Raw genomic sequence first — 27766 nt, forward strand, 5'->3', positions numbered from 1 at the left:
AGGAGCTGAGGGAGGCTGCCCCAGACCACCCAGATTCTAGGCAGAGACCAGAGAGGCTGTGACTCCTGATTGGCTGTGTCTAATGCCTAAGAAACTCTGGAAGGGGGTTGCTGGTACACCTGCCCAAATTTTGCCTCAGATGGAGATGCTGTTTTTATTATCTAGGTCAGCCAACAAATCTGCCTTCTGCCCAGCAAGGAGACACTATCTCTATCTTCCAAGGCTATCTGCTATGCAAGCATCCTTGAAAAAACAGCACAGAACAGAAACCATCAAAGCCTCTGCTCAAGAGACAGGCACAAATGCAATGACCCATGGGGGATGGTCTCCCCACAGGTACACTGACTCCCTTGATGGCACTCAGGTGACCCAAGTTAGCATCAGGCCTATCCAGTCTTCAGTCCCTGCTTGCCAGGGGGTGAGGAGATCAGCGAGGATCCTGTCCGCAGTTGCCATCTGACCCTGCTGTAGCTCTGGCTTGTCACTGCCACATATTCTTCAGGCTACTCAGTGACCCTGCCATCACAAGTCTCCTCCTCAAGCAAACAAACATCCCACAGCAAACAGACACAGCTTTTATGCAGGCCTGAAGATTCCTTCCTGGCTTAAACTCTTGTTAGGGATTACAACAGCTTGGTTTCCAAGACCTGCAGAAAATCTTTCTTTCACTGCAGCCACACTCTGCTGCCTCTCATGGACCACTTTGGAATAATGGGTGGAGAAGCAACATGGGCCTCGGGTGCCCTGGATATTAAACTGAGGATATTTAGTCTTTCCAGGTGCTCCTCAGAGAGCTGAGATACTCTCTACCACGTTCTTTAGAAAGTTAAAAGAGGACTTTTATGGACAAACTGTTAGTTTCCTTTGAACCTTTGGTGGGTAAGTGGTCTATAACACACTAGTCCTTTGGTTCCCAGTCTTATCCCAGTTTCAGAAGGCTGTGTGTCATTGCTGGAAATTGATTCATAGAGTTTCAGAGCTTCTCTAGAAGGCCTCAGCCATGTCCTTAAAAGTTGCATAAAACTTTTGGCATATGAGTGATTCAGGGATCCTGACACCAGACCAGAGGGACCTCTACTGAGTGGTGATCTCCTGCTTGCGTAAAGAGCAATTTAAGCAACAGTGTGTTTTCTGTGTTGTAAGATAGTATCAAGGGTCTCTGCAGCAAGGGCCCAAAGATGATGGGTGGAATAAAAGCTTATCCGGTGTAGCTGGTAACCAGCTTCATGTCATGGCACTGGTCCATCTTTTCCCATCTCAACTGTTCCACCTTCTTCTCTTCAAGGGTAGACATGGTGGACGTGGATGCAGGATAGCAGGCATCAGGCAGATGTGAATGGCATGGAAAACCAGGCTCCTGGAGACATTGTGAGTGCTGAGTCCTGCGAGGCTTATTGGCTGCGTATTAAGAGAAGGCCTTGCTTAGTCCAGGAGGGTGGGCATTTTCCAGGCTGCCAGCCAGATGGATGCTGAGGAGGAAACCCAGTCCACTGATTCAACAGCTATTGTCCATGTACCCTATAGATATTGACCAGAGGATAGAGAATTTATTTGAGTTTCACCATTCCAACATAGAATAATCTGTGTGCAGATTTGGGCTAATACGGTGACTTCCACAAAACAAATCAGACAGGTAGAGGTCTAGAGGAAGATTAATTATTATTACTGTCAATAACAGTCGTTTTAGTATACACTACCCTTTAATCTGCAGCCCCTTGAAGACAGCAATAATAGACCCCTATCTGAACTGGAAGGAGGTGATCTTTTGAGACAATTGTTTGTGTGTTAAACTGATTTTAATGAGTATTTTTAAGGCAGGAGTCTTGAAAGCAATCCATTCTAGAGGCAGACATAATGTAGAATTTTTTTATTTTTGTACAGGTTGAGAGAAAAATGTTAAAAAGGTAAACTTCTATGTTTGGGGGATATAGAAGTTTTAGGTTGATGAAAGATAGACTTTTAATTTTTTCCCCCAGAAAGTAACATTTCTTTTGCATAAAAAAAAAACAGTCTGAGAGTATGCAAACAGTACACGTCAACACGGATTACATTCTGAAACCATGGATGCACACCTCACATTCCTGGAGTCATCTAACACTAGCATCAGCAGGTGGTCTTGACATGGTCCTGGACCCATTCTGTGTCACTGAATCTAAGCAGACAAATGGGCCTGCCTGGAAAATAAATAGAAGGAAGAAAGGATGGGAAAGAAGGAGGGAGGGAGGGAAGGAAAGACATTTCTGAATATGTTCCCAAGATGGTAATAACTGGCACCAGTCTATGTTGGTGGCCTTAATGGAAGCCTGTAGAGAATCTTCAGCCTGGGAGACTGAGCAGCTGTGGATATTTGATCATGTTTTCTGGTTAATGCCAAATCTCTGACACAAAGACCTGTTTATCTTTCCATTTTATGGAAGTGAGCCTGGAATGGAGTGTTGCAGCCAGGGGAGGATTACATCCTCTTTCATAAAGCAAACCCTGTGAGGGTTGTGGGATAAAGAATGCAGTTCCGACTATTTATGAGTAAATTCTCTCTTAGGATGAGCCACATGGGAGATAAAGTGAGGGAAAGGAAAGTAAAAACTTAGATTTTAGAGGAACATCACTTTCCTCTGGTTACAGAGGATTCAGGCAATGTTTATTAAGATGGTCTATCACAAATTTGCATACCAGGCATAGTGGAGATAGGAAAAGTCATGGAGGGTAAGATGCACGATCTTGCCCCTTGTCACGCAAGCTGGGGCTACATTTCAGACTCCAGAGCACGGGTCTGGCAAATGTTTCCTGTAATGGGCCAGGTAATAAATATTTTAGGCTTCATGGGCTATACCATCTCTGCTGCAACTATTCAGCTCTACCATTGTGCCATGAAAGCAGCCATAGACAATAGCAAATAGTGCATGTGGCCTTGTTTCAATAAAACTTTATTTAAAAAACAGCAGGAGGCTGGATTTGGCCCATAGGCCACAGTCAGTTGAACTCTGGCCATGGGCAGGCAAGGGGCAGAGCTTTGCGACGGGCTTCGAATACTTGGGCTGGCCTCTGGTTGCGGTGGAGACCAGCCTGCATTTTGTCCTCTCCAGCTTGAGAGCAGGAGCTGCACCTTCTTTGTGCTTCCTGGAGATTCCTGAGGAGTTCAGGGTGTTAGTATCGACTCTGGTTTATTGAATTGGGCTCTGGGTTCAGGCCTGGTGTTTCCAAACAGAAGTGTCAATGGGAAGGAGGACCAGGCCACTGGCAGAAGACGAGAGAAGCAGACATGGAAATAAAGGCAGACAACCTTTTCTTTTTTATTTCGCTTAGACAAAATGCAAAGAGTGTCTCATTAAATTAAAAAAGAAACAAGAGAGAAAACCAAATTGATTCCCCCCACCCCTTCACTGACGGCACTCATCCTAATTAACAACAAAAGAAGACCAAATTGAGAACCCGGTTTCTAATGGGAAAGAAAGGTGTGCAAACGTGACTGAAGTTTTCCCCTGCCCGCAAATCGGTGTTCCTTTTAAATTCACAAATAGGCTGATTTCCCACCCACCCTGTTTTCTTTCTTGCCTCTTGTGTGATAGAACTTCCAGTCAGAAGGTTTAATTAATCCCCCCCATGCACTTTTGTAGAAAATCAGTAAAAATGCAATAGCCTGTGAAGATCATAAAACTGGACTTCTTTCCCAAAAAATCAGATGCCCAGGCGGATGGAGCTCACACTCAGACAGAAAAAAAGCAGGAGAGTCTTTGCACTGTCTGTGGTTTCAGTATTTTCTCTTTTTTTTTTTTAATATATTTTGGCAATTTTCTTTAATTATAAATATTGGAATTCCGTAAAAAAAAGGTAGCTTTGATTGAATTGTTTGAATTGTATTTACAACCGCTGTCCAGTCATGCTGTCTGTTATACCAGGGTGTAAGATTTTGCGTAAGGATTGTTTCCTTTCAAATGGCCCCGGGAGTCGAGCAGTGATTCTTGGGAGCTGCTCATTTTAGCTGCCTGTCCCAGCTCTGCTCCCTCCCGCTGAGGTAATGTGGCCACGGCCCCCGGCTGCCACGACTGTCCTTCTCTCGTGGAGGAGGCGGAGGAGGCGGCTTCCATCGGGATGGGCTCCAGGACCGTGGGGCGCTTCAGGGTCCGGCTTTTCTGAGGTTCCAAGCATGCTTGTCCTAAGCTCAGGTCCCTGCTGGTGCCTGGACCACCTCGGTTTAACAAAAAGTCCATTCTAAGGTATGGAGGCAAATGTATGAGGTCACCTAGAAGGAAAGACAGGGTAGTTAGTTGGTGTCTTCATTTGGTAAACATGGGCAGAATGTCCTGTGTGCACACGGGAAGCCATGCGGGCTTTAGAGATGAGAATGCCGCTGCACACAGGTGCCTTTCTCAAGATCCTCCTTCAGCGCTCACCACAAAGACAGGTGGAATCGTCCTCCTACCTCCTCCCTGGGCGCGGGAGGAGCTCATTTTCCTACAGTACTTACTTACTTGTATTAACTTACTTGTACAGAAATGGAGGAATGGAGGTAACAGAATCCTTCAACACACCATCGTTGAAAGAAAAACATACATCAAAGGCATCAGTGTCCACTGGGTACGAACGGTGATAGACCAAACCCCGCATGTGATTGGAAGTACAGGGAGAGCACAGGGTTTGAGGAGAGAGCCAGGGACGCCAAGCGAAGATGGACAGCTGGCTCTCGTCCTGGCAATTCTATGAAACCTTGTGACCTTGGCCAGCCACTTAGTTATGGGTCTTCATGATGGCTTTGGGTGAAAGCGCCACAGCTTATGGCCTTCTTACCAGGCCCTGCCTACCTGCTAACTTCTGCGTGGCTCTTCTGTTTCAGCCATGCTGTGTATAGAGATGACAGCAGCTTAGACCAGAATTCTAGTGTTTCTACTTCCTGCTTATGGTCACTCTGGCTTCTGTGGTGCCACGCAAACATAACCTCAGGTCTCCTTCAAGAGCATCTGCTGGCTGGGCACGGTGTGCCTCATGCCTGTAATCCTAGAACTTCGGGAGGCCGAGGCGGAAGGATCACCTGAGGTCAGGAGTTCAAGACCAGCCAGGCCAACATGGCAAAACCCCCTCTCTACTAAAAATACAAAAACTAGCCAAGCATGATGGTGGGCGCCTGTAGTCCCAGTACTGGGGACACTGAGGCAGGAGAATCGCTTGAACCCGGGAGGAGGAGGTTGCAGTGAGCTGAGATTATGCCACTGCACTCCAGCCTGGGTGACAGAGCAAGACTCAAACAAAACAAAACAAAACAAAACAAAACAAACAAAAAACCCAAACCAAAACAAAAAAACCAAGAGCATCTGCTGCAGGAAGGGAGGCATGTGTTCTCTGGGATGCTGCAAGCCAATGACAAGCGTGACAGGGCTTTTCTCATGGCCGTCCCCGCCCGATGCAGGATCTCCCTAACAGGCATCCTTTGCTCAGGGATACCCCATCAGCCTCACTGCAGCCTTCTCAGAAGTGCACCGCAGCCTGACGTGCCTCCAACCAATCCCTCCTTCGCCTTCTCCTCTCACAGGTGTCGGACCTCTGTTATGGTCTCCAGACTCTCCTTGCCACCTCCTGCTTCCTTTTGCTTCCTTCTTCACAAGAATTTCCCCAATAAATTCCTTGTGTGTCTAATCTGTCTTGCTAGGCGCTTCTCAAAAACCTGAACTGACACAGCTTCTTTCACCATCAGCTACTGAAAGGTCACCCTGACCTCTCATTGCCAAATTCTCTGGTTTCCTCTTCGTCCTCTTCCTACCTGCATTACTATAGCATTTGATGCCGTTGATATTTTTGTTGTTGGCCCTTTCAGCTGCCAGGGCACTGTGGTCTTCCAGATCTCTGCCTACATTTCTGGCCACCCTTTCTCACTTTCCTTGACTGGATCCTTTTCTCTGTCTTTCCTCTAAATACGGAGTGTTCAGTGGCCTGCTCTCAGGCCTCTCTCGGAAGGCTTGGCTGCTTTCCTCATTGCTTTATAAATAACATTCCCATCTATCTTTTCCATTTTGCTCTTTCTCCTGAGCCCTAGATGTGAATTTTAGGTGCTTTGCTAGGCATTTCCACACGAGTGTCCATCTGGAATTCTGAAGGCCACAGTCTACCAATTCAGTTAATGAAGGCCAACCCCATCCCCTCCCAATCCCAAATACTGCTTCTCTCCTGTGTGCTCCATCTTGTGTAACATTATCACCATCCTTCCATCCTTGAAACCTCAGAGGTTTCACTGACACCTTTCTCTCCAGGTTAATTCTACCGGCAAAATATCTCTTGACTCTTTTTTTTTTTTTTCTTTTTTAAACAAGAAGAGATAGAGTCTTGCTCTGTTGCCCAGGCTAGAGTGCAATGGTGCATTCATGGCTCACTGTAGCCTCAAACTCCTGGGCTCAAGCAAACCTTCCACCTCAGCCTCCAGAGTAGCTAGGGCTACAGTTACATACCACCATGCCTGGCTAATTATTATTCTTAAAATATTCTGGAGACACAGGGTCTTGCTTGGTTTCCCAGGCTGGTCTCAAACTCTTGAACTCAAGTGATGCTCCTGCCTCAGCTTCTCAAAGCACTGGGATTACAGACATGAGCCACCTGGCCTTGACTCCTTCTCATTCCCATCTTCAGGGCCCTGTTTCAAGGCTTTAATATATCCCATCACCTCCTTGCAAAGCATGAGCACAATTAGGGCCCAGCCACCAGGTCCACTTTGCAACCAACACTGCCTGACTTGAGCTGGACTGACGCTGGGTCTGAGTTTCTGCTGTTTTGGTACAGACAGTGTGCCTTATCCAGCCCAGTGCTTCCCACTTTTTGAGGAACAGGCAGACAAGGGGTATTTGTGCAGTACACTGGGATGAACCCAGGGAGCTGTTTCTGGCCACCTTGAGGTCTGAAGGACTCACCATCTTGGCACACCTGTAACTCGTGACATACCAGGTGCAAAACTCTGTCTAGAGAATGGGCTGGTGGTGTGTGGTCCTGGAGCGAGGGCCCAGGGTAAAGGATGTGCAGGGAGAGAGATATGATGATGGTCTGAGCTCAGGAGCAGCTGTGGGATGTGAGAGAGGGAATTAAATTGTGAGATATGAAGGGGGTCCAAGGAAGGTGGCTTCAGAGTCAATGACAAGTGGGAGTGGTGACAGAGGAGAAGGGGTTAGGGGTGACTCCTTCCCAGGCTCTAAGCTCAGGAAACTGTGTGGACAGTGAAATCACTAACTGTGAAAGGGTGTATAGGGGAAAGATCGTACTTTGATGACAAAAGATGAAGGGTTTAGTTTCAGACCTGCTGAGTTTGATGCAGCTGGGGACATTCAAGACAAGATATCTAGTAGGTATTTTTATCATAGAAACGTAGCTCTAGGATGACTCACTGCTCGTTTTCTGAGTCTAAAGTAACTGAACATTCTTGTTTCTTTTGCTTCAAAATATCCCCTGCTTTCCTTATGTTACTGTATGCTAACAATAATTAATTGAGCCTTCCTCATCCAGCCCCTTTGGACCCATAGGCCCCGAAGGTGCAGGCTGAGGGGATCTGAGACCACCTGAGCCAAGTGAGGGCTGCCATTAGCCAGCTGCTCTGCTAGCGGGGCAATGAAAGTGATATGTGTTTAGACAGTGTTTAAAGCCTGAACCTTAGGAAACACCTTCAAGTTTACCCACAGAAAAAGAACAACCAGCATAACAGAAGGAAAGGACTATTCAAGAGTATAAGAGAACTGGCCTGTAATCCCCGCCCACTTTGGGAGGCCTAGGCAATGGATCACCTGAGGTCAGGTGTTCGAGACCAGCCAGGCCAAAATGGGGAAACCCCGTCTCTACTGAAAATAGAAAAATCAGCTGGACGTGGTGGTACACGCCTGTAATCCCAGCTACTCAGGAGGCTGAGGCAGGAGAATCTTTTGAACCTGCGCATTGGAGGTTGCTGCACGATTGCACTCTATCCTGGGCAACAAGGATGAAACTCCATCTCAAAAAAAAAAAAAAAAAGTATAAGAGAACTAAAAATAAATATGGCCAAATCAAGCCCTAAAAATGCATTTTATACAATTTAAATGAGCATACAAATTTTCAAAATGTTATTACCCGTCTTGAAAATTTTTTTCCGCGAACAACAGGAGCAATGACCTTATTTTTGGGAAATGCAGCAAATGATTTCTTTGTCATTGTGTTATTACATTGTTGCACCACTTGGGATTTATGATTCAAAACTCCATTTAGCTTTTTCAGGATATCTTTATTCTACTAAGTGATGATGAGTAGTTATATGATTTCACTGGGAATGGCAGCATGTAATTCACTAAATGACCCCAGCGACACTGGACTGGGCTCACTGAAATTAAAGGCATTCTAATTCAACGTTGGCTTCCTACTGTCAACTGGATCCAAGGGAAGCTCAGTAATAAATACCTAGACAATAAATGGGCCATAACATTTTTTTTTTTTTTGAGATGGAGTTTTGCTCTTGTCGCCCAGGCTGGAGTGCAACTCGGTTCGCCACAACCTCCACCTCCCGGTTCAAGCGATTCTCCCCCCTCAGCCTCCTGAGTAGCTGGGATTACAGGCATGCACCACCACGCCTGGCTAATTTTTGTATTTTTAGTAGAGACAGGGTTTCTCCATGTTGGTCAGGCTGGTCTCATATTCCTGACCTCGGGTGATCCACCCGCCTCAGCCTCCCAAAGTGTTGGGATTACAGGCGTGAGCCACCGCACCTGGCCCATAACATTCTTATAGGAAGGAATTACATAATTTGGCATTCTTGTAAAAAGGGTTTTGGTAACTTGATGCATCTGAACTTTGGCTTAGAAAAATATAATGGCATGAGGCCTACCCATTATAGACACTAATGTGGAGGGTTCAGGAATCTCTTGCCATATAGAATAGCTTTGTTCCTGAAAGAATTTGAGTTTTTAAAACTTTATGAAACTTGATGGCATTGAAAATTACTAATGTTCGTTTATGGTAGTTATTCTTCAGTCTTCTCTAACCAGGGATTATTTGCAAAAAAAGTGATGAAAGCATTAACAGAGCTGTCATTAAGAAAAAATTGAATAATTCTTTTGTAATGTGAACATCCTTTTGTATGTGAATCAATACACCTTAATTGACCAGTCTTGCGATTTGTAGTTTTATACATTCAATCTCCTGAAAGTGATTATGTCTTTATTCCTAAGAATCTGATAAACAAATTGTTAATTTTATTATTTATTTATTTTAAATTTTAAATTATTTTTATTCAATATTATTTTTATCATGTTGTTTGTATATTTGAGGAAATGGGACAGACATTTACCTCCAGGGTTCTTTAAATATATAGGTCAAGAATGCCTCATGCTCTTTCTGAGACCCGACTCAATCACGAACGCTTGACATATTTGTAATGTGTTGCAACAGATTTGGGGATAAATCTCTATTTTAGTGACTCCCCATTGAATGCACAGGGCTTATTAAACCTCCACAAAGTAATAGCATTGTGGTCCCGGCTGGACTGCAGAATGCGCAGGTCTTAGATTGGAAGGAAGAAACGTGTTTGAAATCAAAAGATAGGACTCATAATATCTGCATCCTGCCTGCAGGGGCTCCCACTTCAGATGTAGTTATCAAGAGGGCTCCAGTCACTGAAATGGACAGATGAGAAATAAAAATCCTTCCTAATGGAAACAGCTCAGTGTTACATCTTTACATGCAATGCCTACATGTATTTGTTTATTGCAGGTCTGACAAGTATCTCTGAATATCCAATATCTCTGATTGATCCAGTTTTTCAGGCAAAGCTCTACAAAGTTGTGTGATTCTCTAATTAGCTCCCTTCAACAATGTGTATTTTCTGATTAGCGTCCAAAGTAGCCCTTTCAACTGTGTGCGTGCTGCAAATGAGTTCTCTCAATAATTAATGCACTTACAGAGAAGAGAGCACCAGAGTAGTCAGCGGTAAGCTCTGTTATTACAGGCACTTATGTTCTTTAAAACCCCAGCCCATGTGCTCATCAACAAAGCCTCTGAGGACCTGGATTCTCTAATTGTCCTCCTATATGCTTAAGATGCCTACACATAGCAAGACAACTCATGCAGTTATTGATCCAGAAAGAGACACATGATGTGTGAGACTGTGGTGACCATGGGGACATTGGCACAGCATTCCCCAGTGCCCTGCCTGCCATCTGCCTGTGTCACATGGGAGAAACCAGCCCTTGGCTTTAATTGTGGTGATGAGGAATAGAGGCCAGGATAACATTGCCTGCATTTATCTGACAGGTCTAGATCTGGGCTCAGTTTCCTTATCCATAAAATGGGAGTAATAGCAGAATCTAGCATAGAGGGCTGTGGTGAAGAGTAACTTAGATAATGCATGTGAAAGCTTTCCCTGGATTAAGGAATCTGTTTCCACAGGGAGCAGGGCCTTCTTGGGTGTGTCTGGTACTCCCCAGCTCACCTGCCCCACAGCTTACCATTCAGGACCCTCTCCAGTTCTCCCATGCAGTGAAAAGTAGCAGGGATCCAGAAGAAGTCCAAGGATCCTTTGTGCTTTGAACTCCAGGGTCACCATATTGGGTCACCATGTCATGGGTACTCACCTCCACTGGGTGCAAATGCCCTCGGCATCCCTGTGTGTAAATCTATCATTGCCATAAACACTGGCAAAGGCAAATGCCCAGTCTTAGTACTTGTTTCAGTAAAACCAGCTATGACAAAATTCACTTATATTTTTGGCAATGATTTCCATACTCTATGGTGTCACTTCACTTCCTCTGCTTTGCTTCCCTCAACCTTTCTCCACATTTCCCCCCTTCCCCTTCTCCCTCCTTCTTTCCCTTCCTCCTGTCTCTTTATCTCTTTCTCTCATTCCCTCCATTCTTTCCTTTATTTTCCTTCTAATATAGTTTGGCTGTGTCCCCACCCAAATCTCTTCTTGAATTGTAGCTCCCATAATTCCCATGTGTTGTAGGAGGGACCCAGTGGGAAGTAATTGAATCATGGCAGTGGTTTCCCCCATACTGTTCTCATGGTAGTGGATGAGTCTCACAAGGTCTGATGGCTTTATAAGGGGTTGCCCCATTCACTTGGCTCTCATTTTTCTCTTGCCTGCCACCATATAAGATGTGCCTGTCACCTTCCGCCATGATTGTGAGGCTTCCCCAGCCACATGGAACTGTGAGTCCATTAAATCTCTTCTTTATAAATTACCCAGTCTCAGGCAACATGAAAACTAACTTCCTTCCTTCCTTCCTTCTTTTCCTTGTTTTGTTTCCCTTGTGCTAAAACTTCTATCCACGAAATCAAAGGCATAGAAAAGGGGTAAAAACATGAAGCAGGGGAGGGACAAAGAGGTAGCTGAGTGCAATAAGACAGCAAGCAGGGCATACACATCAAGAAAAGTGTGGTGTGTGTGTGTGTGTGAGAGAGAGAGAGAGAGGAGAGAGATATGGGAGGGAAAATCTAACTGGAAGAGCAGCATACTGAAAGGGGAAGTTGAGGCATGGAGAAGGAAAGGACTAGCGCTGGTAGGAGGATCCAGCTCATGGTCTGACGGCAGGAGGAACTGAGCTTGAACTCACTTCCATGCCCTCCTTCTGCCCTGCTCACCTACCTGCCCGCACTGCCGGTTCCTTCCCAGTGAGCTAAACCCAGTTAGTGTCTCCAGCCCAGGCCCAGCATGAATACAAAGGCTCACAGAGTCCTGCCTGGGCCTTTGGGACAGGGTCCCCCTGCTGACTTCTTTGGGCTGTAATGGTGGATTTGCACACCATGAACCCACTGTGCTCTGCCCTGAGGCCAATGCCCTTCCTGTCAGAGACCCTAAGTGAGGGTGAGGGATGGAGAAGGTGGAGATGGCCAAGCACAGAGAAGGGCTCTGGGAAACTGAGTTCAGGGACTGAGATGCAGGAACATACCAGGGTCAGGGGAGGCTGAGATGAATAAGGCTGGGGGGGTGTGAGGGAGGATGGATGAGAGAGAGGGGAAGAGACACACAGAGAGAGAGAGAGGGATCAGAGAGATGGAAACACACACAGGGAGGCAGAAAGAAAGAAACGTAGCACTCTAACCTGGGCGATAGAGCGAGACTCCGTCTCAAAAAAAAAAAAAAAAAAAAAGAAAAGAAACATAGCTACGCAGGTCGGTAGACAGATAAAAATTAGAGACAGAGTCACAAATAGAGAAGGGAAAAGGGGAACATGGTAACCATCTGGGACAGTGGTAAGGAGCAGTGGAGGAAGAGGGCACCAGAAAGGTGAGTACTATGAGAATAAATGTGTACCACCCACTTTGAACGGCCCTTGTGGAGCTTTAAAGATGTGTGCACCATACAAGGACCACTGGCCCATCCATCACTGGGGCACCCATTTCTCATTCTTTTCTCATCAGCCTCACCAAAACCCAGTGCAGATCACAGGCTGCACCCATCACTGCCTTTCTGGAGGGAACCCAGGCAGCTGCTTTGACTTCCGCCTTGAGGATGAGACGCTTTACCCATTATTGCAGCATTTTGCTTTCTTATTTGACATCATGCTTCATTTCTCATCCTTCTGTTGCTGCCCTCTGGGGACCTTCAGTGCCATTAATGTCTCCAAAAGTTCTGATTAAATAGGTCAGCATTGATTTCTCTCTCTTTCTCTAACCACTTTGCATACTAGTATCACAAGCTCCTCCTTGCCTCTGGTCCTGAAATGTACAGATTCCTTCTGCAGGCCCCACATCCATCAGCAGATTCACACTCAGAGCTTGTCCCCCTCCACTAACGGTGCATTAGAACCATGGTTGGCCTGACTGTGGGAAAACTGCTGAACTAAACCTGCCTCCTTTTAGCTGAAACCTAGGAAAGCAAAACTTCCTGAATTTTCTCAATCTATTCAGACACACGCAAGGTTTGAATGTATTTCAGTTCTTGGAAGAAGGATGGCAAAATCAATACTGAAATAACAAGAATGAAGCAATTCAGAAAATGGATGTGCATTCCATTAATCCATCATCAAACAATGGTTCTTGCTATGGTTCTTGCTATCTCCCAGGCACCACACTAGGGGAAAATATCTGAACACTAGATCAGAGGCTCTCCACTGAGGGTGGCTTTGTCCCCAGGGGACATGTAGCAAAGTCTGGAGACATTTTGATTGTCATAACACAGGGGAGGGTGACACTATTGATACCTATTGGTCAGAGGCCAGGGGTGCTGCTCAACATCATCCAATGCTCAGAATAGCCCCTGCCACGAAGAATGATCTGGCTTCAAATACTAACGGTGCTGCTGTTGAGAAACTCTGTTTTAGATGATCAGAATTCATAAGGCCAAGTGTTCCTTATTTCACTTTAATTCTACTTATAAAGCATTGAATTCAACCAGGATAAGCAGTTGTACCCCTCAGCCTCAGAATACTAGTCCACAAGGAGTTACGACCTCAGTTCTTCATGGAAGAAAATAAGAGATGGTCCAATGGAACTGTAATCAGAAGGCAAAACCCCCAGGTCTTTCTCCATTGGCACCCGCTGAGGCAGGAGCTGATTCCAGTGGAAAGAGCAGTAGTTACAGAGTGCAGGGCTTGGTGTTGAAATCCTGTCTCTGCCTCTGCTTCTGCCTCCAGGTAGTTTTGTGACCCTTTTGAGCCTTGGTGCTCTTGCCTTTAGACAAATGAATGAGGCACAATACATTCTTTTTTTTTTTCTTATATCTAAACTTTTTATTAGCAACAAGTAATATTTACCAAAAGTATTGAGTTGGATGTATTTTAGCAGTATTTTCTTTTCTTTTTTTCTTTTATTATTTTAAGTTTTAGGGTACATGTGCATATTGTGCAGGTTAGTTACATATGTATACATGTGCCATGCTGGTGTGCTGCACCCATTAACTAGTCATCTAGCATTAGGTATATCTCCCAGTGCTATCCCTCTCCCCTCCCCCCACCCCACTACAGTCCCCAGAGTGTGATGTTCCCCTTCCTGTGTCCATGTGATCTCATTGTTCAATTCCCACCTATGAGTGAGAATATGTGGTGTTTGGTTTTTTGTTCTTGCGATAGTTTACTGAGAATGATGATTTCCAATTTCATCCATGTCCCTACAAAGGACATGAACTCATCATTTTTTATGGCTGCATAGTGTTCCATGGTGTATATGTGCCACATTTTCTTAATCCAATCATTGTTGGACATTTGGGTTGGTTCCAAGTCTTTGCTATTGTGAATAATGCCGCAATAAACATACGTGTGCATATGTCTTTATAGCAGCATGATTTATATTCCTTTGGGTATATACCCAGTAATGGGATGGCTGGGTCAAATGGTATTTCTAGTTCTAGGTCCCTGAGGAATCGCCACACTGACTTCCACAATGGTTGAACTAGTTTACAGTCCCACCAACAGTGTAAAAGTGTTCCTATTTCTCCACATCCTCTCCAGCACCTGTTGTTTCCTGACTTTTTAATGATTGCCATTCTAACTGGTGTGAGATGGTATCTCATTGTGGTTTTGATTTGCATTTCTCTGATGGCCAGTGATGGTGAGCATTTTTTCATGTGTTTTTGGCTGCATAAATGTCTTCTTTTGAGAAGTGTCTGTTCATGTCCTTCACCCACTTTTCGATGGGGTTGTTTGTTTTTATCTTGTAAATTTGTTTGAGTTCATTGTAGATTCTGGATATTAGCCCTTTGTCAGATGAGTAGGTTGCGAAAATTTTCTCCCATTTTGTAGGTTGCCTGTTCACTCTGATGGTAGTTTCTTTTGCTGTGCAGAAACTCTTTAGTTTAATTAGATCCCATTTGTCAATTTTGGCTTTTGTTGCCTTTGCTTTTGGTGTTTTAGACATGAAGTCCTTGCCCATGCCTATGTCCTGAATGGTAATGCCTAGGTTTTCTTCTAGGGTTTTTATGGTTTTAGGTCTAACGTTTAAGTCTTTAATCCATCTTGAATTGATTTTTGTATAAGGTGTAAGGAAGGGATCCAGTTTCAGCTTTCTACATATGGCTAGCCAGTTTTCCCAGCACCATTTATTAAATAGGGAATCCTTTCCCCATTGCTTGTTTTTTCTCAGGTTGGTCAAAGATCAGATAGTTGTAGATATGCGGCATTATTTCTGAGGGCTCTGTTCTGTTCCATTGATCTATATCTGTGTTTTGGTACCAGTACCATGCTGTTTTGGTTACTGTAGCCTTGTAGTATAGTTTGAAGTCAGGTAGTGTGATGCCTCCAGCTTTTTTCTTTTGGCTTAGGATTGCCTTGGCAATGCGGGCTCTTTTTTGGTTCCATATGAACTTTAAAGTAGTTTCTTCCAATTCTGTGAAGAAAGGCATTGGTACCTTGATGGGGATGGCACTGAATCTGTAAATTACCTTGGGCAGTATGGCCATTTTCACGATATTGATTCTTCCTACCCATGAGCATAGAATGTTCTTCCATTTGTTTGTATCCTCTTTTATTTCGTTGAGCAGTGGTTTGTAGTTCTCCTTGAAGAGGTCCTTCACATCCCTTGTAAGTTGGATTCCTAGGTATTTTATTCTCTTTGAAGCAATTGTGAATGGGAGTTCACTCATGATTTGGCTCTCTGTTTGTCTGTTATTGGTGTATAAGAATGCTTGTGACTTTTGTACATTGATTTTGTATCCTGAGACTTTGCTGAAGTTGCTTATCAGCTTAAGGAGATTTTGGGCTGAGACAGTGGGGTTTTCTAGATACACAATCATGTCATCTGCAAACAGGGACAATTTGACTTCCTCTTTTCCTAATTGAATACCCTTCATTTCCTTCTCCTGCCTAATTGCCCTGGCCAGAACTTCCAACACTATGTTGAATAGGAGTGGTGAGAGAGGGCATCCCTGTCTTGTGCCAGTTTTCAAAGGGAATGCTTCCAGTTTTTGCCCATTCAGTATGATATTGGCTGTGGGTTTGTCATAGATAGCTCTTATTATTTTGAGATACGTCCCATCAATACCTAACTTATTGAGAGTTTTTAGCATGAAGGGTTGTTGAATTTTGTCAAAGGCCTTTTCTGCATCTATTGAGATAATCATGTGGTTTTTGTCTTTGGCTCTGTTTATATGCTGGATTACATTTATTGATTTGTGTATATTGAACCAGCCTTGCATCCCAGGGATGAAGCCCACTTGATCATGGTGGATAAGCTTTTTGATGTGCTGCTGGATTCGGTCTGCCAGTATTTTATTGAGGATTTTTGCATCAATGTTCATCAAGGATATTGGTCTAAAATTATCTTTTTTGGTTGTGTCTCTGCCTGGCTTTGGTATCAGAATGATGCTGGCCTCATAAAATGAGTTAGGGAGGATTCCCTCTTTTTCTATTGATTGGAATAGTTTCAGAAGGAATGGTACCAGTTCCTCCTTGTACCTCTGGTAGAATTCGGCTGTGAATCCATCTGGTCCTGGACTCTTTTTGGTTGGTAAGCTATTGATTGTTGCCACAATTTCAGATCCTGTTATTGGTCTATTCAGAGATTCAACTTCTTCCTGGTTTAGTCTTGGGAGAGTGTATGTGTCGAGGAATTTATCCATTTCTTCTAGATTTTCTAGTTTATTTGCGTAGAGGTGTTTGTAGTACTCTCTGATGGTAGTTTGTATTTCTGTGGGATTGGTGGTGATGTCCCCTTTATCATTTTTTATTGCATCTATTTGATTCTTCTCTCTTTTTCTCTTTATTAGTCTTGCTAGCAGTCTATCTATTTTGTTGATCCTTTCAAAAAACCAGCTCCTGGATTCATTAATTTTTTGAAGGGTTTTTTGTGTCTCTATTTGCTTCGGTTCTACTCTGATTTTAGTTATTTCTTGCCTTCTGCTAGCTTTTGAATGTGTTTGCTCTTGCTTTTCTAGTTCTTTTAATTGTGATGTTAGGGTGTCAATTTTGGATCTTTCCTGCTTTCTCTTGTGGGCATTTAGTGCTATAAATTTCCCTGTACACACTGCTTTGAATGCGTCCCAGAGATTCTGGTATGTTGTGTCTTTGTTCTCGTTGGTTTCAAAGAACATCTTTATTTCTGGTTTCATTTCGTTATGTACCCAGTAGTCATTCAGGAGCAGGTTGTTCAGTTTCCATGTAGTTGAGCGATTTTGAGTGAGATTCTTAATCCTGAGATCTAGTTTGATTGACCTGTGGTCTGAGAGACAGTTTGTTATAATTTCTGTTCTTTTACATTTGCTGAGGAGAGCTTTACTTCCAAGTATGTGGTCAATTTTGGAATAGGTGTGGTGTGGTGCTGAAAAAAATGTGTATTCTGTTGATTTGGGGTGGAGAGTTCTGTAGATGTCTATTAGGTCCACTTGATGCAGAGCTGAGTTCAATTCCTGGGTATCCTTGTTGACTTTCTGTCTCGTTGATCTGTCTAATGTTGACAGTGGGGTGTTAAAGTCTCCCATTATTAATGTGTGGGAGTCTAAGTCTCTTTGTAGGTCACTCAGGACTTGCTTTATGAATCTGGGTGCTCCTGTATTGGGTGCATATATATTTAGGATAGTTAGCTCTTCTTGTTGAATTGATCCCTTTACCATTATGTAATGGCCTTCTTTGTCTCTTTTGATCTTTGTTGGCTTAAAGTCTGTTTTATCCGAGACTAGGATTGCAACCCCTGCCTTTTTTTGTTTTCCATTTGCTTGGTAGATCTTCCTCCATCCTTTTATTTTGAGCCTATGTGTGTCTCTGCACGTGAGATGGGTCTCCTGAATACAGCACACTGATGGGTCTTGACTCTTTCTTTATCCAATTTGCCAGTCTGTGTCTTTTAATTGGAGCATTTAGTCCATTTACATGTAAAGTTAATATTGTTATGTGTGTATTTGATCCTGTCATTATGATGTTAGCTGGTTATTTTGCTCGTTAGTTGATGCAGTTTCTTCCTAGTCTTGATGGTCTCTACATTTTGGCATGATTTTGCAGTGGCTGGTACCGGTTGTTCCTTTCCATGTTTAGTGCTTCCTTCAGGAGCTCTTTTAGGGCAGGCCTGGTAGTGACAAAATCTCTCAGCATTTGCTTGTCTGTAAAGTATTTTATTTCTCCTTCACTTATGAAGCTTAGTTTGGCTGGATATGAAATTCTGGGTTGAAAATTCTTTTCTTTAAGAATGTTGAATATTGGCCCCCACTCTCTTCTGGCTTGTAGGGTTTCTGCCGAGAGATCCACTGTTAGTCTGATGGGCTTCCCTTTGAGGGTAACCCGACCTTTCTCTCTGGCTGCCCTTAACATTTTTTCCTTCATTTCAACTTTGGTGAATCTGACAATTATGTGTCTTGGAGTTGCTCTTGTCAAGGAATATCTTTGTGGCATTCTCTGTATTTCCTGAATCTGAACTTTGGCCTGCCTTGCTAGATTGGGGAAGTTCTCCTGGATAATATCCTGCAGAGTGTTTTTCAACTTGGTTCCATTCTCCCCATCACTTTCAGGTACACCAATCAGACGTAGATTTGGTCTTTTCACATAGTCCCATATTTCTTGGAGGCTTTGCTCATTTCTTTTTATTCTTTTTTCTCTAAACTTCCCTTCTTGCTTCATTTCATTCATTTCATCTTCCATCACTGATACCCTTTCTTCCAGTTGATCGCATCGGCTCCTGAGGCTTCTGCATTCTTCACGTAGTTCTCGAGCCTTGGTTTTCAGCTCCATCAGCTCCTTTAAGCACTTCTGTGTATTAGTTATTCTAGTTATACATTCTTCTAAATTTTTTTCAAAGTTTTCAACATCTTTGCCTTTGGTTTGAATGTCCTCCTGTAGCTCAGAGTAATTTGATCGTCTGAAGCCTTCTTCTCTCAGCTTGTCATAGTCATTCTCTGTCCAGCTTTGTTCCGTTGCTGGTGAGGAACTGCATTCCTTTGGCAGAGGAGAGGCGCTCTGCTTTTTAGAGTTTCCAGTTTTTCCCCATCTTTGTGGTTTTATCTACTTTTGGTCTTTGATGATGGTGATGTACAGATGGGTTTTTGGTGTGGATGTCCTTTCTGTTTGTTAGTTTTCCTTCTAACAGACAGGACCCTCAGCTGCAGGTCTGTTGGAGTACCCTGCCCTGTGAGGTGTCAGTCTGCCCCTGCTGGGGGGTGCCTCCCAGTTAGGCTGCTCGGGGGTCCGGGGTCAGGGACCCACTTGAGGAGGCAGTCTGCCCTTCTCAGATGTCCAGCTGCGTACTGGGAGGACCACTGCTCTCTTCAAAGCTGTCAGACAGGGACATTTGAGTCTGCAGAGGTTACTGCTGTCTTTTTGTTTGTCTGTGCAGCCTACAGAGGCAGGCAGGCAGGCCTCCTTGAGCTGTGGTGGGCTCCACCCAGTTCGAGCTTCCAGGCTGCTTTGTTTACCTAAGCAAGCCTGGGCAATGGCGGGCCCCCCTCCCCCAGCCTGGCTGCCACCTTGCAGTTTGATCTCAGACTGCTCTGCTAGCAATCAGCGAGACTCCATGGGCGTAGGACCCTCCAAGCCAGGTGCGGGATATAATCTCGTGGTGCGCCATGTTTTAAGCCCGTCAGAAAAGCACAGTATTCGGGTGGGAGTGACCCGATTTTCCAGGTGCCGTCCGTCACCCCTTTCTTTGACTAGGAAAGGGAACTCCCTGACCCTTTGTGCTTCCCGAGTGAGGCAATGCCTCGCTCTGCTTCGGCTCACGCACAGTGTGCGCACCCACTGTCTGGCACTCCCTAGTGAGATGAACCCGGTACCTCAGATGGAAATGCCGAGATCACCCGTCTTCTGCGTCGCTCACGCTGGGAGCTGCAGACCGGAGCTGTTCCTATTCGCACTTATTTTCCATTCTTGCCCTTAGCAAATCAAAAAGACATCTCTTCAACAGATAAAGGGGTGCTCTCCCTTGAAATGAGGATAGCTATCCACAAAGCAGGCAGCATTATCTAGCTGTAATTTTAATGCTACCTGAATTTTGAATTTGCCTGTACAATTACAAGTCCTAAAAATGCAGCAAATTATTGTCTTCTTCCATAAGGGATGACTATTCCCATCTCTACAAACAGAAAACAAAATTCTCTATTCTTTTGAGAAATAGCTGCAAAGTTTAACAATTTTTTTTCCTCTGGGTCAAGGTGGCTTCCAATTCTTGGTTTCAGGTAGCATTTTGAGCCAGTTGCAAACCTTCTTGGATTACTGCTTCTTCTTCTTATGATGTTTATCCTGTGCCGTCAAGAGAAGCCATTACATGAAGCTACTTAATTCAGTTTCAAGTTTCAGACATGCACCCTAACACAGCCTGCCCCACTAGTGGTAGGGAAAGCATCAGCCCCTTTGGATCTCTGTGCTCATGCCCTCTGGGCCCCAGACACAAGGTTATGAGTTTCAGCCCCTTCCTTGGGGAATGCATTTGAGGTTGTTTTTTTTTTTTTTAGTGGGAAAAGGCCACTGCCTGGTGCCAACTTGTTAATTCACTAAATTGCCAGTAATTCGAAAGAGTTACTGGATTTTAATTTTAGGATCCATTCATCTTGCATCACTCTCTCCTGAGGGTGTGAGGGTGGAGAGTAGGAGGCGGGCCCCAAGGCATGCAGAGAGGCCAGGAGCCCTTACCTGAAGAAAGAGCCTACCTCTGCACAGGTCAGCACTATTCTGACCAAGGCTGGCCACCGTATTCTCAGTTGTCATTTTGACCATGCTGTTTTCCCTCTCTGAAGTCTGGGTATCTGTCATGTTGGCTCTGAAATCAAAACAAGACACCAGCAGTCCAATCTTCAGAGCTAAATAACCCCCACCCCCAGCTTCACTTACCTATATCTCCCTCACTGCCTGAGGACTTGGCTCAGGCAGCTGGGGTGCCAAGCCTCGGGGCTTGCATCTTCCTCCTCTGTTCTGCACATCACTAAAACTCAGTTTTGAAATGTTTATCATAAATATTATACTAAGGGTCTCCTTTCAAATGCAAGTCTCTTTGATGCCTACACGTGTGCTTGCGCACACACATGCGTGCACACATACACATTCACACACAAGTACACATGCATGGACACATATATGTTGACACACATGCACATGTACGTGGATACATAAGCACATGCTCCCATGCATGGATACACACAGGCACACACACATTCTCACTGCACTGCTCTGCGTTCCACCCTTCTAGAGGAAGGCTTGCTCCCTCCCTCTCAGCCTCCCTGCTCCTCTGTCTTTTTTTGCCATGCGTGTGTTGAGTGGACACTAAATGACTGGTCCTGTTTTGGGAACTGAGGATGCAGTGATTGATAGACAAGACCCACAGAGATCCCCACTGATCAAGTAAACAAACAAATAGTATCGTTCCCGACTGTGGTGAGTGCTGGGTGGAGAAGCAAATCCAGGAAGGGGATAAAACGTGGGAGGGGAGTATTTTGGAAAGAATGGCCCGGAAAGGCCTCTCAGGCAATGAGACGTAAATGATGGGATGGAAGGAGCCCTGCAAAGATCCTTCTGGTGGTCCAGAGAGCTGAGCAAAGATAAAGGCCAGGAGATAGGAATGAGCTTGGCGTTCACAACAGGGATCAAGAGTTCCCTCTGAACTACGACCCTTCAAACACTCCCATAGAATTTTAGGTTAAAAGAACCCTGGGGCCATCCAACAAAGCCTCCACATACTGCTGTTCACGCCCACTCGATGTCGACCTAAATATTGGCATGTGCTAATCCTGATTTCTGCTGGAAATCCAGGTCTCTCTGAGGAGTATTTGCAATTTTAGCTTCTTAAGGGCTCTTATAGAATTTCAGTGTCTTCTTAGTAACTCTCCCTCAGACTCAGAAAGTGACAGTAGGACCTGTTCTGAGGGGTTCTCAAGCTTAGAACTCTAAGCCCTTTGCCTGAAATAAAAGCTTAGCATGTATGTACATGGGGTCTTCTGCAGCCACTACCCTGCAACCATCCTCCTGCCACTGTGTTCAAGAGGCCATCCCCTGTACCTCTGACCTTGTCCGGTGGTCTGGCTGGTTCACTGTACTTGCTGCAGTTGCTAAGCTGGTGTTTGTGTCCTCTTGTTCCAGAACATGTATTCCCTGTGTTCTGATTCTCTTGTCTGACTTCTGAGCCCCTTAAAAGGCTCACTGTTTTTCTTGGGTAGCTTATTGGGGTTCAGTTCTAATCATTGCGAAATCCTGGGCTGTGCCAGTTCCTCGAGAGGTGGAAAGTGATGGGGGAGGCATGTACCTTAGAGAACAGTGATGTGGGGGTAGAGGCCTCTTTGTCCCTGCTGAGTGACCAGAAGGAAGCTCCCAGATTCCAGCTCTACAGATGACAAGAAAGAAGGCTGCCCAGGCTAACTGAACGTTCACTGCATCTCAGACAGACCCGGTTAAAACACAAATATACGACACTCGTGTATTGAATCCCTACTGATTGAATATCTCCTGAGTAAAAAGACACTGGGTATTACCCTAACACATAAAAGGGTTAATATCTTAAATTAACACTCCTCACAGTCTCATTCATTTATCAGAATAGTGTGTATCAAAGACTGCAGGCAATGGGTTCTGAAGACATGAGACAGGCAAATCTTGAGAAGGTCAAGAAATAATACAAAGCCCAGCTCATAGAAGATGGTCAGTCACCACCTACACACACAAACACGCACACACATACACAGCCCAGTGAGGCCTTGTGAGAAGCTAAAGCCACACGAAGGCCCAGGGAGCATACAGAAAGGTAAGAAGACAGCAAAGACCATCGTCTTCCAATGTGGCCTCCTGTACACTCTGCTGGCACCAGGGCCTAAGGCATCCTGTATCCCAAACCAGAAATGGGAGACAAGCCATCATTTCCAGTAAGAGTCAACCTTCCTCTGTTTAACCCCCTTCCATGGCTTCCTGCTGCTCTCACAGTAGAGACTTACTAGCGTCTGAGGGGTCAGCCTTGTCTTCCTTGCCTTGACCCCTGGTCTCCAGCCTCCAACCTTGCCCCTAGTCTCCAGCCTTCAACTTTCTGGCCTCCTACAACTCCACAAATATACCTTCCCTCTGTCTGGAATTCTCTCATTTCCAGCCTAACTCAGCTCCTTCTGTGGGATGATTCAAGATGCACATTGTTGTAGAAACAGCTCTGTCAGCTTCATGGCAGAACAAGGCCAAGCCCCCAGCTAGGGTTCTGCTTCAGGTGGTCCCCAATGTGTGGTTCCTTGTGGCTGTTGTGTGGGAACTGTATCCATCTTTGGATCTCATGGATCGTTCCATAGTGGGTGCTCCAAAACCACTGCTAAGTTCTGTGCTTGCCTAAAGGCCAGGGAAGATTTTCCAATCCGTCTTTTATTCAGATCTACTTTATTTGAGAAGAATCATAAGCCTCAACAAAGTCAAAGCCCTACTTTTATACCTCGGTGTAGTTTTTAAAGTTCACCAGCAAGCAGAAGGATCACAATATTGATGAGCTCTTAAAAAATGCATGAGGGCCCCTGAGTACAAGCCAAGAATTGTAATCGAGTCCCTGCACATGGGCCTCTGATATCAATCTCACATTATTTATTTAGGGTTTTTCCTGCTTGCCGTTTGGGAGTGAAGATTCATTTACCAAGAGAGATTCTTTTACTAGTTTTCATTACCATGCTGCAACATTAATATTAAACTCAAAAAGTGTTAGATCTCGTCTGTCTCTGGTATGGGTGGACTCTATGCTCCCCTTTGGGAACCAGCTCTTTGACACTATAGTGTTGTTGCAAGTCTGGTCTCTGTGTTTTTTATTGAAATTGCTGGAACTCAAGGAAATCATCTTTTGCTTCTTACTTTTGCATCAATATCCAGCTCTATCCAGGCATAGATCTCAAACCTTGTTAGAAATTGATGAAAGTTCCTTTTTATGTGTCCGCAGAGGAGATTGAAGCCCCAAAAACTGTGATTCACATTCATTCCCACAAATTTGGGAAAGCATCGGCATGTTTACAGCCTCCAACTAACAAAGCATTGCAGAGGAGGAGGAAGAAGGCTACCCCAAACTGCTTTGGAATATCTGGCCCCCAGAAATGCATTTCATTTGTTCCACCCTTATCCATTAATTCCCAATACAGATGTATGTAACCAGTTTCAGTGGTGAGATACCTCAGAGTATAAGAAGGGCTCTTTTAGGCTTCAAGGTGCCTTTAGAAAGTATTGTGCCTGGGGGGGAGGAGCCAAGATGGCCGAATAGGAACAGCTCCCGTCTACAGCTCCCAGCCTGAGCGACGCAGAAGACGGGTGATTTCGGCATTTCCATCTGAGGTACCGGGTTCATCTCACTAGGGAGTGCCAGACAGTGGGCGCAGGTCAGTGGGTGTGCACACCATGCGCGAGCCGAAGCAGGGCGAGGCATTGCATCACTCGGGAAGCACAGGGGTCAGGGAGTTCCCTTTCCTAGTCAAAGAAAGGGGTGACGGACGGCACCTGGAAAATCGGGTCACTCCCACCCGAATACTGCGCTTTTCTGACGAGCTTAAAACACGGCGCACCACGAGACTATATCCCGCACCTGGCTTGGAGGGTCCCACACCCACTGAGTCTTGCTGATTGCTAGCACAGCAGTCTGAGATCAAACTGCAAGGCGGCAGTGAGGCTGGGGGAGGGGGGCCCCCCATTGCCCAGGCTTGCTTAGATAAACAAAGCAGCCAGGAAGCTCGAACTGGGTGGAGCCCACCACAGCTCAAGGAGGCCTGCCTGCCTGCCTCTGTAGGCTCCACCTCTAGGGGCAGGGCACAGACAAACAAAAAGACAGCAGTAACCTCTGCAGACTCAAATGTCCCTGTCTGACAGCTTTGAAGAGAGCAGTGGTCCTCCCAGTACGCAGCTGGACATCTGAGAAGGGCAGACTGCCTCCTCAAGTGGGTCCCTGACCCCGGACCCCCGAGCAGCCTAACTGGGAGGCACCCCCCAGCAGGGGCAGACTGACACCTCACAGGGCAGGGTACTCCAACAGACCTGCAGCTGAGGGTCCTGTCTGTTAGAAGGAAAACTAACAAACAGAAAGGACATCCACACCAAAAACCCATCTGTACATCACCATCATCAAAGACCAAAAGTAGATAAAACCACAAAGATGGGGAAAAACTGGAAACTCTAAAAAGCAGAGCGCCTCTCCTCTGCCAAAGGAATGCAGTTCCTCACCAGCAACGGAACAAAGCTGGACAGAGAATGACTATGACAAGCTGAGAGAAGAAGGCTTCAGACGATCAAATTACTCTGAGCTACAGGAGGACATTCAAACCAAAGGCAAAGATGTTGAAAACTTTGAAAAAAATTTAGAAGAATGTATAACTAGAATAACTAATACACAGAAGTGCTTAAAGGAGCTGATGGAGCTGAAAACCAAGGCTCGAGAACTACGTGAAGAATGCAGAAGCCTCAGGAGCCGATGCGATCAACTGGAAGAAAGGGTATCAGTGATGGAAGATGAAATGAATGAAATGAAGCAAGAAGGGAAGTTTAGAGAAAAAAGAATAAAAAGAAATGAGCAAAGCCTCCAAGAAATATGGGACTATGTGAAAAGACCAAATCTACGTCTGATTGGTGTACCTGAAAGTGATGGGGAGAATGGAACCAAGTTGAAAAACACTCTGCAGGATATTATCCAGGAGAACTTCCCCAATCTAGCAAGGCAGGCCAAAGTTCAGATTCAGGAAATACAGAGAATGCCACAAAGATATTCCTTGACAAGAGCAACTCCAAGACACATAATTGTCAGATTCACCAAAGTTGAAATGAAGGAAAAAATGTTAAGGGCAGCCAGAGAGAAAGGTTGGGTTACCCACAAAGGAAAGCCTATCAGACTAAGAGTGGATCTCTCAGCAGAAACTCTACAAGCCAGAAGAGAGTGGGGGCCAATATTCAACATTCTTAAAGAAAAGAATTTTCAACCCAGAATTTCATATCCAGCCAAACTAAGCTTCATAAGTGAAGGAGAAATAAAATACTTTACAGACAAGCAAATGCTGAGAGATTTTGTCACCACCAGGCCGGCCCTAAAAGAGCTCCTAAAGGAAGCACTAAACATGGAAAGGAACAACCAGTACCAGTCACTGCAAAAACATGCCAAATTGTAAAGACTGTCGAGGCTAGGAAGAAACTGCATCAACTAACGAGCAAAATAACCAGCTAACATCATAATGACAGGATCAAATACACACATAACAATATTAACTTTACATGTAAATGGACTAAATGCTCCAATTAAAAGACACAGTCTGGCAAATTGGATAAAGAGTCAAGACCCATCAGTGTGCTGTATTCAGGAAACCCATCTCACGTGCAGAGACACACATAGGCTCAAAATAAAAGGATGGAGGAAGATCTACCAAGCAAATGGAAAACAAAAAAAGGCAGGGGTTGCAATCCTAGTCTCAGATAAAACAGACTTCAAACCAACAAAGATCAAAAGAGACAAAGAAGGCCATTACATAATGGTAAAGGGATCAATTCAACAAGAAGAGCTAACTATCCTAAATATATATGCACCCAATACAGGAGCACCCAGATTCATAAAGCAAGTCCTGAGTGACCTACAAAGAGACTTAGACTCCCACACATTAATAATGGGAGACTTTAACACCCCACTGTCAACATTAGACAGATCAACGAGACAGAAAGTCAACAAGGATACCCAGGAATTGAACTCAGCTCTGCACCAAGTGGACCTAATAGACATCTACAGAACTCTCCACCCCAAATCAACAGAATACACATTTTTTTCAGCACCACACCACACGTATTCCAAAATTGACCACATACTTGGAAGTAAAGCTCTCCTCAGCAAATGTAAAAGAACAGAAATTATAACAAACTATCTCTCAGACCACAGTGCAATCAAACTAGAACTCAGGATTAAGAATCTCACTCAAAACCGCTCAACTACATGGAAACTGAACAACCTGCTCCTGAATGACTACTGGGTACATAACGAAATGAAGCTAGAAATAAAGATGTTCTTTGAAACCAACGAGAACAAAGACACAACATACCAGAATCTCTGGGACGCATTCAAAGCAGTGTATAGAGGGAAATTTATAGCACTAAATGCCCACAAGAGAAAGCAGGAAAGATCCAAAATTGACACCCTAACATCACAATTAAAAGAACTAGAAAAGCAAGAGCAAACACATTCAAAAGCTAGCAGAAGGCAAGAAATAACTAAAATCAGAGCAGAACTGAAGGAAATAGAGACACAAAAAACCCTTCAAAAAATTAATGAATCCAGGAGCTGGTTTTTTGAAAGGATCAACAAAATAGATAGACTGCTAGCAAGACTAATAAAGAGAAAAAGAGAGAAGAATCAAATAGATGCAATAAAAAATGATAAAGGGGACATCACCACCAATCCCACAGAAATACAAACTACCATCAGAGAATACTACAAACACCTCTACGCAAATAAACTAGAAAATCTAGAAGAAATGGATAAATTCCTCGACACATACACTCTCCCAAGACTAAACCAGGAAGAAGTTGAATCTCTGAATAGACCAATAACAGGATCTGAAATTGTGGCAATAATCAATAGCTTACCAACCAAAAAGAGTCCAGGACCAGATGGATTCACAGCCGAATTCTACCAGAGGTACAAGAAGGAACTGGTACCATTCCTTCTGAAACTATTCCAATCAATAGAAAAAGAGGGAATCCTCCCTAACTCATTTTATGAGGCCAGCATCATTCTGATACCAAAGCCAGGCAGAGACACAACCAAAAAAGAGAATTTTAGACCAATATCCTTGATGAACATTGATGCAAAAACCCTCAATAAAATACTGGCAGACCGAATCCAGCAGCACATCAAAAAGCTTATCCACCATGATCAAGTGGGCTTCATCCCTGGGATGCAAGGCTGGTTCAATATACACATATCAATAAATGTAATCCAGCATATAAACAGAGCCAAAGACAAA

General features: G+C 44.5%; 1 protein-coding gene across 4 annotated transcripts in view, besides 1 other annotated feature; it reads right to left on the bottom strand.

Annotated features, from left to right (window-relative positions):
• Positions 1–1852: 1852 nt before the first annotated feature.
• Positions 1853–27766, bottom strand: part of DSCAM (DS cell adhesion molecule) — an 836160-nt gene continuing 810246 nt past the window's right edge. For 2 of the 4 annotated variants that reach the window (NR_073202.3, NM_001389.5), the window contains exon 33: positions 1853–4240. Coding sequence is in view for 3 of the 4 variants with exons in the window: in NM_001389.5 (NP_001380.2) it covers positions 3888–4240 (353 nt within the window). In the remaining variant the exon portion in view is untranslated. The remainder of the gene's footprint in view (positions 4241–27766) is intronic. The other 2 variants (NM_001271534.3, XM_017028281.2) reach the window with 2 other exon arrangements.
• Positions 19342–19841: an enhancer, noted in NCBI's record as "H3K4me1 hESC enhancer chr21:41400415-41400914 (GRCh37/hg19 assembly coordinates)". NCBI's record gives its function as "activates a minimal SCP1, AML or CMV promoter by ChIP-STARR-seq in primed H9 embryonic stem cells {active_cell/tissue: H9 hESC(primed)}" and the evidence as "EXISTENCE:reporter gene assay evidence [ECO:0000049][PMID:30033119]".

The sequence above is a fragment of the Homo sapiens genome, chromosome 21 (assembly GCF_000001405.40).
Source record: "Homo sapiens chromosome 21, GRCh38.p14 Primary Assembly".
NCBI classification, from domain to species: Eukaryota; Metazoa; Chordata; class Mammalia; order Primates; family Hominidae; genus Homo; species Homo sapiens.